General features: G+C 37.5%; 1 long non-coding RNA gene across 5 annotated transcripts in view, besides 2 other annotated features; it reads left to right on the forward strand.

Moving 5' to 3' along the window:
- Window positions 720–1,285: an enhancer, noted in NCBI's record as "H3K27ac-H3K4me1 hESC enhancer chr4:66864230-66864795 (GRCh37/hg19 assembly coordinates)". NCBI's record gives its function as "activates a minimal SCP1, AML or CMV promoter by ChIP-STARR-seq in naive and primed H9 embryonic stem cells {active_cell/tissue: H9 hESC(naive and primed)}" and the evidence as "EXISTENCE:reporter gene assay evidence [ECO:0000049][PMID:30033119]".
- Window positions 1,286–1,850: an enhancer, noted in NCBI's record as "H3K27ac-H3K4me1 hESC enhancer chr4:66864796-66865360 (GRCh37/hg19 assembly coordinates)". NCBI's record gives its function as "activates a minimal SCP1, AML or CMV promoter by ChIP-STARR-seq in naive H9 embryonic stem cells {active_cell/tissue: H9 hESC(naive)}" and the evidence as "EXISTENCE:reporter gene assay evidence [ECO:0000049][PMID:30033119]".
- LOC105377261 (uncharacterized) overlaps window positions 5,409–17,165 on the forward strand; it is a 148,733-nt gene continuing 136,976 nt past the window's right edge. For all 5 annotated transcript variants that reach the window (XR_007058453.1, XR_938844.2, XR_938845.2 and 2 more), the window contains exon 1: window positions 5,409–5,570. This is a non-coding gene — a long non-coding RNA (uncharacterized LOC105377261). The remainder of the gene's footprint in view (window positions 5,571–17,165) is intronic.

A 17,165-nucleotide genomic window follows, 5' to 3' on the forward strand; every position in this document is an offset into this window, starting at 1 on the left:
GAGGAGTATCTTTGTGGCGTTCTCTGTATTTCCTGAATCTGAACGTTGGCCTGCCTTGCTAGATTGGGGAAGTTTTCCTGGATAATATCCTGCAGAGTGTTTTCCAACTTGGTTCCATTCTCCCTGTCACTTTCAGGTACACCAATCAGACGTAGATGTGGTCTTTTGACATAGTCCCATATTTCTTGGAGGCTTTGCTCATTTCTTTTTATTCTTTTTTCTCTAAACTTCCCTTCTCGCTTCATTTCATTCATTTCATCTTCCATCGCTGATACGCTTTCTTCCAGTTGATCACATCGGCTCCTGAGGCTTCTGCATTCTTCACGTAGTTCTCGAGCCTTGGTTTTCTGCTCCATCAGCTCCTTTAAGCACTTCTCTGTATTGGTTATTCTAGTTATACATTCTTCTAAATTTTTTTCAAAGTTTTCAACTTCTTTGTCTTTGGTTTGAATGTCCTCCCATAGCTCAGAGTAATTTGATCATCTGAAGCCTTCTTCTCTCAGCTCGTCAAAGTAATTCTCCATCCAGCTTTGTTCCGTTGCTGGTGAGGAACTGCGTTCCTTTGGAGGAGGAGAGGTGCTCTGCTTTTTAGAGTTTCCAGTTTTTCTGTTCTGTTTTTTCCCCATCTTTGTGGTTTTATCTACTTTTGGTCTTTGATGATGGTGATGTACAGATGTGTTTTTGGTGTGGATGTCCTTTCTGTTAGTTTTCCTTCTAACAGACAGGACTCTCAGCTGCAGGTCTGTTGGAATACCCTGCTGTGTGAGGTGTCAGTGTGCCCCTGCTGGGGGGTGCCTCCCAGTTAGGCTGCTCAGGGGTCAGGGACCCACTTGAGGAGGCAGTCTGCCCGTTCTCAGATCTCCAGCTGCGTGCTGGGAGAACCCCTGCTCTCTTCAAAGCTGTCAGACAGGGACATTTAAGTCTGCAGAGGTTACTGCTGTCTTTTTGTTTGTCTGTGCCCTGCCCGCAGAGGTGGAGCCTACAGAGGCAGGCAGGCCTCCTTGAGCTGTGGTGGGCTCCGCCCAGTTGGAGCTTCCCGGCTGCTTTGTTTACCTAAGCAAGCCTGGGCAATGGCGGGCGCCCCTCCCCCAGCCTTGCTGCTGCCTTGCACTTTGATCTCAGACTGCTGTGCTAGCAATCAGGGAGACTCCATGGGCGTAGGACCCTCCAAGCCATGTGTGGGATATAATCTCGTGGTGTGCCGTTTTTTAAGCCCTTCGGAAAAGTGCAGTATTCGGGTGGGAGTGACCTGATTTTACAGATGCCGTCCGTCACCCCTTTCTTTGATTTGGAAAGGGAACTCCCTGACCCCTTGCACTTCCCAAGTGAGGTAATGCCTCGCCCTGCTTCGGCTCACGCACGGTGCGCGCACCCACTGACCTGCACCCACTGTCTGGCGAGATGAACCCGGTACCTCAGATGGAAATGCAGAAATCACCGTCTTCTGCGTCGCTCACGCTGGGAGCTGTAGACCGGAGCTGTTCCTATTCGGCCATCTTGGCTCCTCTCCTCAGCGGTAATATCTTTTAACTCTTTCTCCATAACGTTATTTTAGTGTCTTGTGGAGACCGCTTGCTGCTTACCCCAATATGTGTTCTCACCATCTTGTGGCTTACCCTTAGTTATGTCTACTGCCAAAAGAACTAAAACAATACTTTGTAACCTATCTTGCCTAGAAGACATCATTTAGCTACAATTTGGTTTATGAGACATAAACAGAAACGTATGTTCTAATTTAGAGAGAAGTTTTTAATGAGAAAAGAGACACCTATCTTCTGCATGTTTCATTTTCTTGTAGTTAGCTCTTGAATATTAGCAGCTATCTTATATCCTAATTTGAAAGTGTCAGACCTAGGCTCACAGAACAGCATAGAGCAGGGGCCTGCAGAAGCAGAAAATAAAAGGAGCCGTGCTGTAACACAAAAAAATGTCTGTCCATAAACATTATCATGTGAGAGGGAAAAAATCCTCTGTTTCCATTGTCTCCATAACTTTCCCCCATTCTTCAAAGTTGACTCAAATGTTAGCTGATACATTATGGTTACCAAAAGAACAGGAAATAATATATTAATACTACTCTTTCTTGATTATCAAATTTGGCACTCCCATATGAGAAATTTAGCTGATACATTTAAATAATAAAAATACCATTTCCACTTTTCAACTCTTCAGATTTTGTCAGAAATTTCTGAAATCTTAGTTTTTTCAGTAATTATGATTTTTAAGAATATACTTAATCTTCTTTTGAATAATTTAGCAACTGAAAATGTATCTAGATAATCTCACATAAAATGGTAAAGCAATGAGTACTTCCATTTCTATTTTACTCCTCATCACATAGTTCTTTAATTTGCTGCTAAATAACATTTTTATTCTTGCATTTTACTTTGTAACTATACGAAATTTTGTATTATTTGTATTTAATTTGTATAAAGATGAAAAACCTAAATGAATAATAAATATAAATGCAGATATTAATAAAATAAATATAAATCATAAGACAAGAGCCAAAATTTGACACGTTAATAACATTAACACAATTGATAAACACTAAAAAGACTGATTGATACAATAAGAGAAGAAAATTAATATTATGGGTGCTATTAATATCATATCACTACAAATCTTCACAGATCAAAAGATATTTAGACGTGACATTCTGAAAAACTGTATGACAAAAATTTGACAATGTGAATAAAATAGACAAATTCCTGGGACAATATAACTTAGTAAAGATGACAAAAGAAGAAGTTAAATATTAGAATTGTCTGATATCTATTAAGGAATCAAATTTGTCACTTAAAACCCTTCACTGAAAGAAAAGGGAAAATAAACTGAAACCCACAGGCACAGATGGATTCAATTATAGATTTTTCCAGACAAATGAACAGTTCACATTTTCTTGGAGTGATAGGAGAAGAGTTTAACTTGCTTACTTTATGAGTTGGAAAACAGTTACATGAGTAATCACCAAAGGAGGAAGTATTCTGTAGTCTTTCTATATTCAATTTTGTTGTGAGAATTTTCCATAAATTCTTACTACATTGCAATATAGCCTCTAAAAAATAGAGGAAGCTAGTCTTTCCATGTTCAAAATGAGAAAGTAAAACTGTAATATGATATCTCTGTTGAGCATTCAGTTGAAGCAGGCTGGTCACCTCAAGGGAGAAACAGGGGTAACCAGACTGTTTCCAGAAAATGTGACAATAGATGAATTTATTTCTCCTGCTTTCTATATGTAGAAGAGAGCGGGAGATGAAGAGCCTTTTACAATTCTACTACAACTTCAAGGCCTGAAAAAAAAAAAAAGAAAGAAAAAAACAGAGGTCTGAAAATCCATTGCAGTGAATGTCTGGTTAAAATCCAATGCTATCTTAAGTAGAAAATAGTTTTTGCAAAAGCTTTCTAATTGATAACTCTCCTTTGGTTTTCTAAACCTTTTAGCCACTGGCTTATGAGAAGCTTAAATTAATTTGGGACCTAGAGAGGATATTTACATAAAATTTTGCTTAACATAGGAAAGAGATGTGGCTTCAACAGGGTCATAGTAATGGAGATGGACAATAAATACAGGAAGATATGTTTTGGAGAATAAAACAGTAGATTTAGCTAGAAGTTTCGATGTAGTGGTTGTAGGCAACAGAAAAATCGAGAATTCTAAATTTTTGACTTTTCTATTCTGTTTTACCTCATCCATCTGTGTGTGTTCATGCATCATCTCTCTGTATCAGCTGGTGTTTTTTGAAGCAAGCAACAGAAAACAACACTGTCTCATTTACACAGAATATAAATGTATTGAATAAGTATTTAGTAGCTAGTGGTGTGAAAGGAAAAATTGTGAACCAAGTTCGAGAATGGTCAGACACAAGGGAGGCCAGGCAGCAGCCAACTGGTAAATATCAAGTTCCAGAGCCAGGCCCATGAGGACAGAGCTGCCCTGCTAAGCTGGCGCTATTTTAGTTGCTGCTGCAGGACAATTGATGCTTCTACTGCTGAGCCTGGAACCTGGATGCTACACTACCACTTCACCATCAACACCGAGATGTTTTCTCTACTGTCCCTTTTCTTTTGAAATGAACTGATTCAAAGTTCAGAAGTAGGATGGGTGGAATCTGACCAGTAAATCTAGGTCATGTAGTAGTACCCTTTCTCTAAGGAAGGCTACAGAAATCTATATCTGTATCTTTGACGTCTACCATGGTAGATGGGCTCTGCCTCCTTTCAAGACTCATAGGATGAAAATTTTCACAGTAATAGATACTACATCCTCTATGATGCCTGCATTCCTCAAAGAAAACAATGGCTTGCTTATCTAAATGCTCACTAGAACTAGAAATACCATTTGACCCAGCCATCCCATTACTGGGTATATACCCAATGGATTATAAATCATGCTGCTTATAAAGACACATGCACACATATGTTTATTGTGGCACTATTCACAATAGCAAAGACTTGGAACTAACCCAAATGTCCAACAATGATAGACTGGATTAAGAAAATGTGGCACATATAGATCATGGAATACTATGCAGCCATAAAAAATGATGAGTTCATGTCCTTTGTAGGGACATGGATGAAGCTAGAAACCATCATTCTCAGCAAACTATCGCAAGGACAAAAAACCAAACACCTCATGTTCTCACTCATAGGTGGGAATTGAACAATGAGAACACATGGACACAGGAAGGGGAACATCACACACAGGGGCCTGTTGTGGGGTGGGGGGAGCGGGGAGGGATAGCATTAGGAGATATACCTAATGTAAATGATGAGTTAATGGGTGTAGCACACTAACATAGCACATGTATACATATGTAACAAACCTGCACGTTGTGCACATGTACCCTAAAACTTAAAGTATGAAAAAAAAAATGCTCACAGTGCTTATTTCTTGAAAGTTTGCTTAATAACAATAAATACCATATTTTTATCTATGAATGTATCTCATTATTTGTATTATTCTGTGAATTCCTTTTTGTTGACAAATTATATGTATGGTGATGTATGTATGTTTTGCATACAGGGTGATATTATAATTTCTGAAAACAATGTGTAATGGTTAAATAAAGCTTAACATATTTGTTATCCCAAATATTTAATAATTTTTTGATAAGGGCATTTGAAATTTACTTTCTTAATAAAATTTAACTGTACAATATTCAGTTATAGCTATATTCACCATGCTGTGTAATTGTTCTAAAAAATGTGCATATTCCTACTGTCTGAGGCTTTGTACCTTTATGCCCTTTGACTATTCCTGTTTCCCTCACATCCCAGTTTCTGGATACCACCCTTCTACTCTCTGCTTCCATTAATTCAATTGGTTTAGATTCTACATATAAGTGAGAACATTTGGTATTTGTCTGTGTTTGACATGTTTCATTTCATGAATGGAATTGGAGAACATTTTGCTAATGTTCTATGATGTCACAAATGACAGAATTTTTTTATCATCCGTCCCTTGAAGAAAACTTATGTTGAATTCATAGGTTAGCCATTATACACAGTACTGCAATGAACATGGGAGTGTAAACATCTCTTTGACACACTGATTTCAAATCTTTCAGGTAAATGCCCAGAAGTAGGATTGCTAGATCATAGAGTAATTCTACTTTTTATTTTTATTTTTTGGAAACTTTAGAGACTATTTTCTATATGATTATACTAATTTATATTCCTACAAGCAATGTACAAGAAATCTGTTTTCTTCATATCCTTACCAGAATTGGTTATCTTTTGCCTTTTTAATAATAGCCATTGTAATTGGTGTGAGGTAATATCTCATGTGGTTTTAATTTGCATCTCCTTAATGATTAGCGGTGTTGAGCATTTTTCATATATCTGTTAGCCATTTGGATGTCTTAAGTTTCATTCATTAATGTTTCCTAGTTTTTAGTGTAAAACTCATTTTAATTTTTTTGTAGCTATTGTAAATGTGATTATTCCCTTGGTTATATTTTTCAGAAATTTTATTGTTGGGGTAGAGAAACACTGCTGATTTTTACATGTTGATTTAGTGTCCTGCAACTTTGCTGAAATCATTTACCAGTTCTATTATTTTTGTTGAAATCTTTAGTGTTTTCTATACATAAAATTATATAGTCTGGAAACAGACAACTTAACTTGTCTCTTTCCAAGTTGCATGTCTTTCCTGTCACTCTCCTGCCTAATTGTTCTGGCTAGGACCTCCTGTACTACATTGAATAGGACTGTTGAGAGTGGGCATCCTTGTCCTGTTCCTGATCTTAGAAGAAAAGCTTTCAACTTTTCTCCTTTGTGTGTTATCTGTGTGTTTGTAATACATTTTTTTATTGTGTTGATGTACATTTCTTGTATATCTAATTTGTTGAGAGAGTTTTTATAAGAAAGGATATTGAACTTTGTCAAATGTTTTATAAGCATCTTATGAGATGGTCATATAATTTTTGTCCTTCATTTTGTTTATGCTGTGAATCACATTTATTGATTCGCAAATGTCGAACCATCCTTGAATCCCAGAGATAAATCTCACTTCATCATAATAAATGATTCTTTTGTTATTGCATTTAGTTTGCCTGTGTTTTGTTCATGATTTTTGTATCTCTGTTTCCCAAAAATATTGGCTTGTAGTTTTCTTTTCTAGTGATGTCCTTGTCTGGCTTTGGTATCAGGTTAATGCTAGCCTAGTGAAACGGGTTTGACTGTTCCCACCCCTTCAATTCTTTGAAGTCATTTTTGAGAAATTGGTATCAGTTTTTTAAATGTTTGGTAGAATTCAGCAGTGAAGTCATCAGGTCCTGGGCCTTTTATGATGGAATACATTTTATTACTGATTCAATCTTTTCACTCAGTATTGGTCCGTCTAGATTTTCTATTTCTTCGTAATTCAGGCTTGGTAGGTTATGTCAAATAATTTATCAATTTCTTTTAGGTTATCCACACTTTGGCATATAATTATTCATGATAGTCTGTTATGACTGTTTGTATTTCTGAGGTGTCAGTTCTAATGTTCCTTCTTTCATTTCTGATTTTATTCCTTTGAGTCTTTTCTCTTATACTCTTGGTTAATCTTCCTAAACGTTTGTCAATTTTGTTACTCTTTTCAGAAAACCAACTCTTAGTTTTTTTGCTCTTTTGCATTATTTATCTAGTTGCTGTTTTATTCTTTTCTGTTTTGATCTCTTTTTCCCCCTTTTGCTAACATTGATTGTATTTTTTTCCTTTTCTATTATCTTGGGTTGTAACATCAAGTTGTTTGCAATCTTTCTTCTTTTCAGATGTAGGCATTTCTTGCTATAAAGTTTCCTTGGAAAACTTCTTTGCTTCTTTCCATACATTTTAGTAGATTTTGTTTCCATTTTATTTGTCTCAAGCTATTTGTACATTTTATTTTAATTTCTTCATTGATTTATTGATTGTGGGTATGTTGATTCATTTTCATGCATTTGTCAATTTTCTGAAATTCCTATAGTTATTGATTTCTGATTTTATACCTTTAGGGTTTAAAAAGGTACTTGATATAATTTCAACATTTTTCAATTTGCTAATACTTGTTTTGTGACCAAAATATGATCTATCCTGAAAATTATGCCAGGTATGTTTGAGAAGAATATGCGTTCTTCTGTAAAGCATTGTTCAAGTTCAGTATTTTCTTATTAATTTTTGGTCTCAATTAACTGTTCAATATTAAAAGTGGTGTATTGAAGTCTTCTACTATTGTTGTATTGCAACTTATCTCTCTTTTCATATCCTTTAATATGCCTTATATATTTAGATGCTCCACTGTTGAGTTCATACAAATTTATAATTGTTATATTATCTTGATGAATTAACTCTTTTATCAATTTTTAAATGTCCTTCTTTTTCTCCTTTATTCTTCTCTATTTAAAATCTAGTTTGTCTAAATTTTTGCACCTGCTCCTTTATGATTTCCATTTGTGTGAAATATCTTATTTCCATCCTTCAATTTCAGACTATGTGTGCCCATAAAAGCAAACTTCATCTCTTGTAAGAAGCGTATAGTTGGGTCTGATTTTTCTTAATTCATTTACTCATTATATATATTTTTATTTTATAATATAATCCATTTACATCTAAGGTAATTATTGATAGGTAAGGACTTAATTCTGCCATTTTGTTGTTTTCTGGAATTTTTGTAAGTAACCTTTTTGTTCTTTCTTCCTCTCTTACTCTCTTCCTTTGTGGCTTGATGGTTTTCTGTAGCAATATGTTTTGAATGTTTTTATTTTTGTTTTGTGCATATCATGTAGATTTTTGCTTTCTGGTTACCATGAGGCTTACAAAGAACATCTTGCATTTAGAATAGTCTATTTGAAGCTGATAATGTTGATTTAAAGCTGATAATCTTGATTGCATACAATAAGTACACACTTCTTTCTCCTCTTTCCATTTATGTTTTAGCTGTCCAAATTTGCCTGAGATCTTCTATTTTGCTATCTTGTTGATGTTAATTTCTATAAGGCCAGATTTTTGTGGGAATAACCAAGGTATCCAACATACAGCTTTGGACAGAATCCAGATCCTCAGATTCTGAAAAAAACGTATTTAGATACTTATAGAACAAAAGGAACAAATTAATTAATGATAACACCTTGACAACCCTATAAAAATAATGAAAACATACCAATTTATTATAGCAGACCATTGAAATTAGGTTTTATTGAGAAGCTGATGGTAAGATAAAATTAATAGGGCAAAAGGATTATTAAGGCTGAAGCTTCTAAAAGAAGAAAGGGATGCAGTATGATCAGAGGGTATTGTCAGACCAAGATATAGACCTAACAGAGTAGCAACTCAATCATGAACTCTAAAGAAATATCCTGTTAAAAGAGTTATATATTGGATAGAATGGCTATGTCACTACCACCTACCTGCTCAGCTACTATATGGGTGCCAACTTAAGAAGAGCTTGACTTTACCTACCACTGACTTGCTCTGTCATTGGCTAGAAGCTTTTCCTGAAGAAGCTTAGCCTCATCTTGAGTACTGAAGCAGATCCTGAAAAGGAACTAAAACCTAGTGGCTGTTAGCTAAGCACATTCATTGTAGCTGAGCAGCAAGCTCTTAATTATACAACATAGATCCAATTTTTAAGCAGCCCCTTCAAAATGGGTTATTTTCCCTGAAGGAAGAATTAGAAGGGGGTATTTTTAGTGGGGTAAACTTCAGTACTCATCACTAAAGTTGATTTTAGGGTCTTAAATGCTATTCATCGTCTGTCTATTATTTATTTTATATTTTGTTTACCCTCAGATACCATATTTGGTTTACTTGGTGGTGTGAAATAAATCTTTATTCCTGAGGGTTTTAAACTACTGACTACTGCCAATGTGTCCATATATATTCTATTCTCAAAGTACTTTGCCTACTACACAAAGTAGAAGAATAGGTGCACTTTCTAAAGCATCACCTATTGGTAAAAACTTTGTCCTTCAAGGCCATTTATGTGCAAAGCTGTAGTACAGTCATTCTGTATTTTTAGCTTACATTTACTTCCTGGGAAACTCATCCATAAGCCAAGCTCAGGATTTTTTTATCCTATGCATGTGATCATTTGGAAAAATATCCTTCTTGTGCGCTGAAGAAGGAAAACAAGTAAAACTCCATTGAACAAGGAGGGATCAGACGGAGTACATGGAGCATGGGGCAATACCTGCTCATGTGTCTTACTTATAACCCCTCTTTCTGCTTATACTTAGTATTAAACATGCAATTTGCATCTTACAAAGGATTATTGCAGGATAACCCAGACTTATTTATGACTTGATGGGTGTCAAAGGTCTGAGCTCATGTTAGGCAGTTCCACATCCATGCTCGCATGGTGTCCAATGGTTAAAAATTCCATCTCTATCAGGGTTTGGTGACAGATGAGTAATTTTTTTTAATAAACACATAGTTATTTGCTACAGATAGCATAGTCTTGTTCTAGGACTCAGTGGGCTATGTTCTGAATTTTCCTCTAGGACTCACCACAAACACCTCGCAACATGTTTTTTTTTACTAATAACCCTTTCAGCATAATACTATGTTCTATTGGAGCATATGGCCCATAGGGGAATAATACTTACCTCACAACATGTACACCCCACAAAGCCTCTCAGGTTACCTTTTTATGGGTCACAGAAGCATCCTATGTGTGAAATTGTACTTTAGTAGTGAGCATAGGTCTATTAGGCATTGTACCTATTTTGTAGTAAAACATATAAGATACTTAAATTTATTTGTTAATTTAGAAACAATATCTAGTATGCTTCTAATAGGTCTGTAAATATTTTTACTGAACTGGTCTCTGAATCTTCATAGGGCTTAGTCTTCATCCTCTGAATTGAATGTCTCACAAGTTTTCCAATAGTGTAGCTACTTCTTGATCTTTCAATAAAATGAGTAGAGGACATTAATAAAGTGGAGCAATGTGATGTTTTCTGCAATGTCCACATGATCCAGATTTTTTTAATGCTAAAGTAATTTCTTCTTTATTTGATCATCAAATTACTAATGACTGTGTGACTGTGTAAACAACAGAAATTAATTTTCTCACAGTGCTAAAGACTGCAGGTCCAAGTTCAAAATGGTTTTTTCTGAGGTCTATTTCTTTGACTGCCTTCATATTCAAATGGTCACTCTCTATGAGTGTCTGTGTCTTAATCTCCTCTTCTTATATGGGCACCAGCCATATTAGATTAGGGTTCATCTGAATAACTAATTTTAACTTCACTATCTTTTTTGAAGGGGGATATTATGGGATCCTTGAATTTTTGTGTGTGTGTGTGTGTGTGTGTGTGTGTTTTATTTCTCCTAAAAAAAAAACAAAACGGGATACATGTGCTGAATGTGCAGGTTTGTTACATAGGTATAAATGTGCTATGGTGGTTTGCTGCACCTATTGACCTGACTCCTAAGTTCTCTCCCCTCACCCCCAACCCCACAACAAGCCCTGGTGTGTTGTTCCCCTCTCTGTGTCCATGTATTCTCAATGTTCAACTCCCATTTATAAGTGAGAACATGCAGTGTTTGGTTTTCTGTCCCTATGTTAGTTTGCCGAGGATGGTGGCTTCCAGCTTCATTCATGTCCCTACAAAGGACATGATCTCATTCCTTTTTATGGCTGCATAGTATTCCACGGGGTATGTGTACCACATTTTCTTTATCTAGTCTATCATTGATGGGCATTTGGGTTGGTTCCATGTCTTTGCTATTATAAATAGTTCTGCAATAAACATACGAGTGCATGTGTCTTTACAGTATAACAATTTACTATTTTCCTTTGGGTATATACTAATAATGGGATTGCTGGGTCAAATGGTATTTCTGGTTCTAGATCCTTGAGGAATTGCCATGCTGTCTTCCACAATGGTTGAACTAATTTACACTCCCACCAACAGTGCAAAAGTGTTCCTATTTCTCCACACCCTCACCAGCATCTGTTGTTTCCTGACTTTTTAATAATCGCCATTTTGACTGGCATGAGATGGTATCTCATTGTGTTTTTGATTTGCATTTCTCAGATGATCACTGATGTTGAGCTTTTTTTTTTCATATGTTTTTTGGCTGTGTAAATGTCTTCTTTTGAGAAGTGTCTGTTCATATCCTTTGTCTGCTTTCTGATGTGCCTGTTTATTTTTTTCTTGCAATATGTTTAAGTTCCTTATAAATTCTGGATAATAGACTTTTGTCAGTTGGGTAGATTGCAAAAATTTTCTCCCAGTCTGTAGATTGCCTGTTCATTCTTATGATAGTTTATTTTGCTCTGCAGAAGTTCCTTAGTTTAATTAGATCCCATCTGTCAATTTTGGCTTTTGTTGCAATTGCTTTTGGAATTTTTGTCATGAAGTCTTTGCCGAAGCTTTATTCTTCTTGCTTAGGATTGTCTTGGCTATACGGGATCCTTTTTGGTTCCATATGACATTTAAAGTAGTTTTTTTCCAATTCTGTGAAGAATGTCAATGGTAGTTTGATGGGAATAACATTGAATCTGTAAATTGCTTTGGGCAGTATGGCCATTTTCACGAAATTGATTCTTCCTATTCTTCCTATCCATGAGGATGGAATGTTTTTCCATTTGTTTGTGTCCTCTCTTATTTCCTTGAGCAGTGGTTTGTAGTTCTATTTGAAGAGGCTCTTCACATGCCTTGTTAGCTGTATTCGTAGGTAGTTTATTCTCTTTGTAGCAATTGTAAATGGGAGTTCATTCATGATATGGCTTTCTTCTTGTCTATTGTTGGCATAAAGGAATGCTTGTGATTTTTGCACATTGATTTTGTATCCTGAGACTTTCCTGAAGTTGCTTATCAGGTCAAGAAATTTAAGGGCTGATATGATGGGGTTTTTTAAAATATAAAATCGTGTCATCTGCAAAGAGAGACAACTTGACTTCCTCTCTTCCCATTTTAATCCGCCTTTTTTCTTTCTCTTTCCTGATTGCCCTGGCCAGAACTTCCAATACTATGTTGAATAGGAGTGATGAGAGAGGGTATCCTTGCCTTGCACAGGTTTTCAAAGGGAATGCTTCCAACTTTTGCCAATTCAATATGATATGGGCTATGAGTTTGTCATAAATAGTTCTTATTATTTTTAGATATATTCAATCAATACCTAGTACATTGAGAGTTTTTAACATGAAGGAATGTTGAATTTTATCAAAGGCTTTTTCTGCATCTATTGAGATAATCATGTGGCTTTTGTCTTTGGTTCTGTTTATGTAATAGATTATGTTTATTGATTTGTGCATGTTGAACCAGCCTTGCATCTGAGTGATGAAGCCGACTTGATCACGGTCGATAAGTTTTTTGATGTGCTGCTGGATTCAGTTTGCCAGTATTTTATTGAAGATTTTTGCATCAATATTAATCAGGAATAGTGGACTGATTTTTTTCTTTTTTTGTTGTGTCTCTTCCCAGTTTTGCTATCAGTATGATGCTGGCTTCATAAATTGAGTTAGGGATGAATCCCTCCTTTTCAGTTATTTGAAATAGTTTCAGAAGGAATGGTACCAGCTCCTCTTTGTATTTCTGGTAGAATGTAGCTGTGAATCAGGTAGTTCCTAGGCTTTTTTTGGTTGCTAGGCTATTAATTCTGCCTCAATTTCAGCACTTGTTATTGGTCTATTCAGGGATTCAACTTCTTCCTGGTTTAGTTTTGGTAGGGTGTATGCGTCCAGGAATTTATCCATTTCTTCTAGATTTTCTAGTTTATTTGAATACAGGTATTTATAGTATTCTCTGACGATAGTTTGTATTTCTGTGAGGTCAGTGGTGATATCCCCTTTAACATTTTTTATTTTGTTTATTTGATTCTTCTCTCTCCGTTATTAGTCTAGCTAGCAGTCTATCTATTTTGTTAATTTTTTTCAAAAAACTACCTCCTGGATTTGTTGATTTTTTGTGTCCCTATCTCTTTCAATTATTCTCTGATCTTAGCTATTTCTTGTCTTCTGCTAGCTTTTTGATTTGTTTCCTCTTGCTTCTCTAGTTCTTTTAATTCTTATATTAGGGTGTTGATTTGAGATTTTTCTAGCTTTCTGATTTGGGAATCTAGTGCTATAAATTTTCCTCTTAAAACTGCTTTAGCTGTGTCCCAGAGAATCTGGTACATTGTCTCTTTGTTCTCATTGGTTTCAAAGAACTTCTTGATTTCTGCCTTTATTTCATTATTTACCCAGGAGTCATCCAGCAGCAGGTTTTTCAATTTTCATAAAATTATGTGGTTTTGAGTGAGTTTCTTAATCCTGAGTTCTAATTTGATTGCACTGTTGTCTGAGAGACTGTTATGGTTTCAGGTTTTTGCATTTGCTGAACATTTTTTTACTTCTAATTTTGTGTTTGATTTTAGAATAAGTGTCATGTGGCACTGAGAAGAATGTATATTCTGTTGATTTGGGGTACAGAGTTCTGTAGAAGTCTGCTAGGTCCACTTGATCCAGAGCTGAGTTCAAGTCCTAAATATCCTTGTTAATTTTCTGTCTCGTTGATCTGTCTAATACTGACATTGGGTGGGAGCCTAAGTCTCTTTGTAGGCCTCTAAGAACTTGTTTTATGAATCTGGGTGCTCCTGTGTTGGGTGCATATACATTTAGAATAGTTAGCTCTTCTTGTTCAATTGTCCCCTTCACCATTATGTAATGCCCTTCTTTGTCTGTTTGATCTTTGTTGGTTTAAATTCTGTTTTGTCAGAGACTAGGATTGCAATCCCTGCTGTGTGTTTTTCAGCTTGTTTCCATTCTCCCCATTTCCTTTTGTTACTTCAATCAATTGTAGGTTCAGTCTTTTTATGAAGTCCCATATTTCTTGGAGGCTTTGTTCTTTCCTTTCCTTTTCCTTCTTTTTTCTCTATTCTTGTCTGCATGTCTTATTTCAGTAAGGTGGTCTTCAAACTCCGATATACTTTCTTCTGCCTGGTCAACTCAGCTGTTGTTACTTCTGTATGCTTCACAAAGTTCTCATCTGTGTTTTTCAGCTTCATCAGGTTGTTTATGTTCCCCTCTAAACTGGTTATTCTAGTTAGCAATTCCTCTAACCTTTTATCAAGGTTCTTAGCTTCTTTGCATTGGGTTAGAACATGCTCCTTTAGCTCAACATATTTTTTTTAACCCATCTTCTGTTGCGGGAAGTCAGGGACCCTGAACGGAGGGACTGGCTGGAGCCACAGCAGAGGAACATAAATTGTGAAGATTTCAAGGACATTTATCAGTTCCCAAATAATACTTTTATAATTTCTTATGCCTGTCTTTACTTTAATCTCTTAATCCTGTTATCTTCGTAAGCAGAGGATGTATGTCACCTCAGGACACAGTGATAATTGTGTTAACTGTACAAATTGATAGTAAAACATGTGTGTTTGAACAATATGAAATCAGTGCACCTTGAAAAAGAACAGAATAACACCAATTTTTAGGAAACAAGGGAAGACAACCATAAGGTCTGACTGCCTGCAGGGTCGAGCAAAAAGAGCCATATTTTTCTTCTTGCAGAGAGTCTATAAACAGACGTGCAAGTAGGGAAGATATCACTAAATTCTTTTCCTAGCAAGGAATATTAATATTAATATGCTGGGGAAGGAACGCATTCCCTGGGGGGAGGTCTATAAATGGCCACTCTGGGAATGTCAGTCTTATGTAGTTGAGATAAGGACTGAGATACACCCTGGTCTCCTGCAGTACCCTCAGGTTTACTAGGGTGGGGAAAAACTCTGCCCTGGTAAATTTGTGGTCTGACTGGTTCTCTACTCTTGAACCCTGTTTTCTGTTGTTTAAGATGTTTATCAAGACCTTTTTCACTGCTGAACATAGCAGTGAAACATAGACCTTTTTCAGTGGTTCTGCTTTTGCCCTTTGCCTTGTGATCTTTTTGGACCCATATCAGTAGTTCTGCTTTTGTCCTTTGTCCTGTTCCCTCAGAAACATGTGATCTTTGTGAGACCCTTATTAGTAGTTCTGCTTTTTGCCCTTTGAAATATGGGATCTTTGTACCTACTCCCTGTTCTTACACCCCCTCCCCTTTTGAAACCCTGAATAAAAACTTGCTGGTCTGAGACTCAGGCAGGCATCACGGTCCTACTGATATGTGATGTCACCCCTGGTGGCCCAGCTATAAAATTCCTCTCTTTGTACTGTCTCTTTATTTCTCAGCCGGCCAACACTTATGGAAAATTGAAAGAACCTATGTTGAAATACTGGGGGCAGGTTCCCCCAATAATCTTCTGAACTCCACTCCTGTCAGTTAGTTCATCTTATCCTCTGTCCAGTTCTGGGCCCCTAATGGGGAGACTTTATGATCATTTGGAGGAGAAGAGGCACTCTGGCCTTTTGGGTTTTCTGCATTTTTTTTGTTGTTGATTCTTTCTCATCTTTGTGAGTTTGTCTAGTTTCAGTCTTTGAGACTTCTGACCCTTGGCTGGGGTTTTGGTGGGGGTCTTTTTGTTGTTGATGCCATTGTTTTTGCTTTTTGCTTGTTTGTTTCTCTTTCAATAATCTGGTCCCCCTTCTGTAGGGTGGTGCCAGTTTGCTGAGGGTTCACTTCAGTCCCTATTCATTTAATTCACTCCCGTGCCTGGAGATGTCATTCAAGGAGGTTGGAGAGCAGCAAAGATGGGTCCCTGCTTCTTCTTCTAGGACCTCTGACCTCAAAGGGCACCAAACTGATGTCAGTAGGATCATTCCTTTATAGGATATTTGACAACCCCTGTTGGAGGGTCTCACCCAGTTGGATGGCATGGTGAACAGGACCTGTTTCCCAAAGCACTTTGTCCCTTAGCGGAGAGGGTGTGTTTCACTGGGGACCCATCTGGGCTGCCTGGATTCCTCAGAACTACCAGAAGGAGAGGCAAAGTCAGCTGGTCTGCAGAGACTGCCACCACCCCTCTCCCTAGGGGCTCAGTCCCAGGGATATCCAAATTCTGTTCCTGAGCCTCTGGTTGGAGTTACTGGAGATCCTGCAGGGAAGCCCCACCCATTGAGGAAGGATGGGTCCGGGTTAGACCTGAAGAGGCACTTTGGCTCCAGACTGCCACAGCCTGTGTGTTGGGCTGTTGGGACAAGTCTTGGGACCAAGCCATCCAGTCTCCCTGGCTCCAGCAGGGGAAAAGCACAGACTGGAGCTATAGAAATGGTTGCTGCCCTTCCCCAGCCCAGGGAGTTTGGTGTATTAGGCAGTTGTGAGTCCCACTGCTGGCTGCTGCCTTTCCCCCAAGGAGTTCAAATGGCTTAGACTGCAGGCAGCATCAGCAGGTGCTGGTCAGCCCTCCCCCTAGGAATTCAGTAGGCTTAAGCAGATTCCAGCTGAAAGGCTGTAAGAATCTCTGTGTTCAGGAGTTGGGACAGAAGCCCCAGTGGCATAGGTTCACGAGTGAGATCTTCTGGTCCATGAGTTGCACAGTTCCATGGAAAAAGCACAGTTTCCCTGGCTGGGTAGTGCTCTCACTCACTGCCTCCCTTGGCCCAGGGAGGGAGTTTCCCTTCCCTGCATGGCTCTCGGGTGGACCACTGCACCACACTGCTGTTCCTTCTCTCCATGGGTCAAGCCAGCCTTCTAGTAAATTTTGATGAGAGAACCTGGATACCTTGGCTGCTGGTGAAGAATTCACACTCTTATTATGTATTTTTTCGATGAGAGCCTTTGAACACCAAGGCTTCTAGTCAGGCATCTTGCCCTGCCCCCACCCCGATTTTT

The sequence above is a fragment of the Homo sapiens genome, chromosome 4 (genome assembly GCF_000001405.40).
Source record: "Homo sapiens chromosome 4, GRCh38.p14 Primary Assembly".
Classification (NCBI taxonomy): Eukaryota; Metazoa; Chordata; class Mammalia; order Primates; family Hominidae; genus Homo; species Homo sapiens.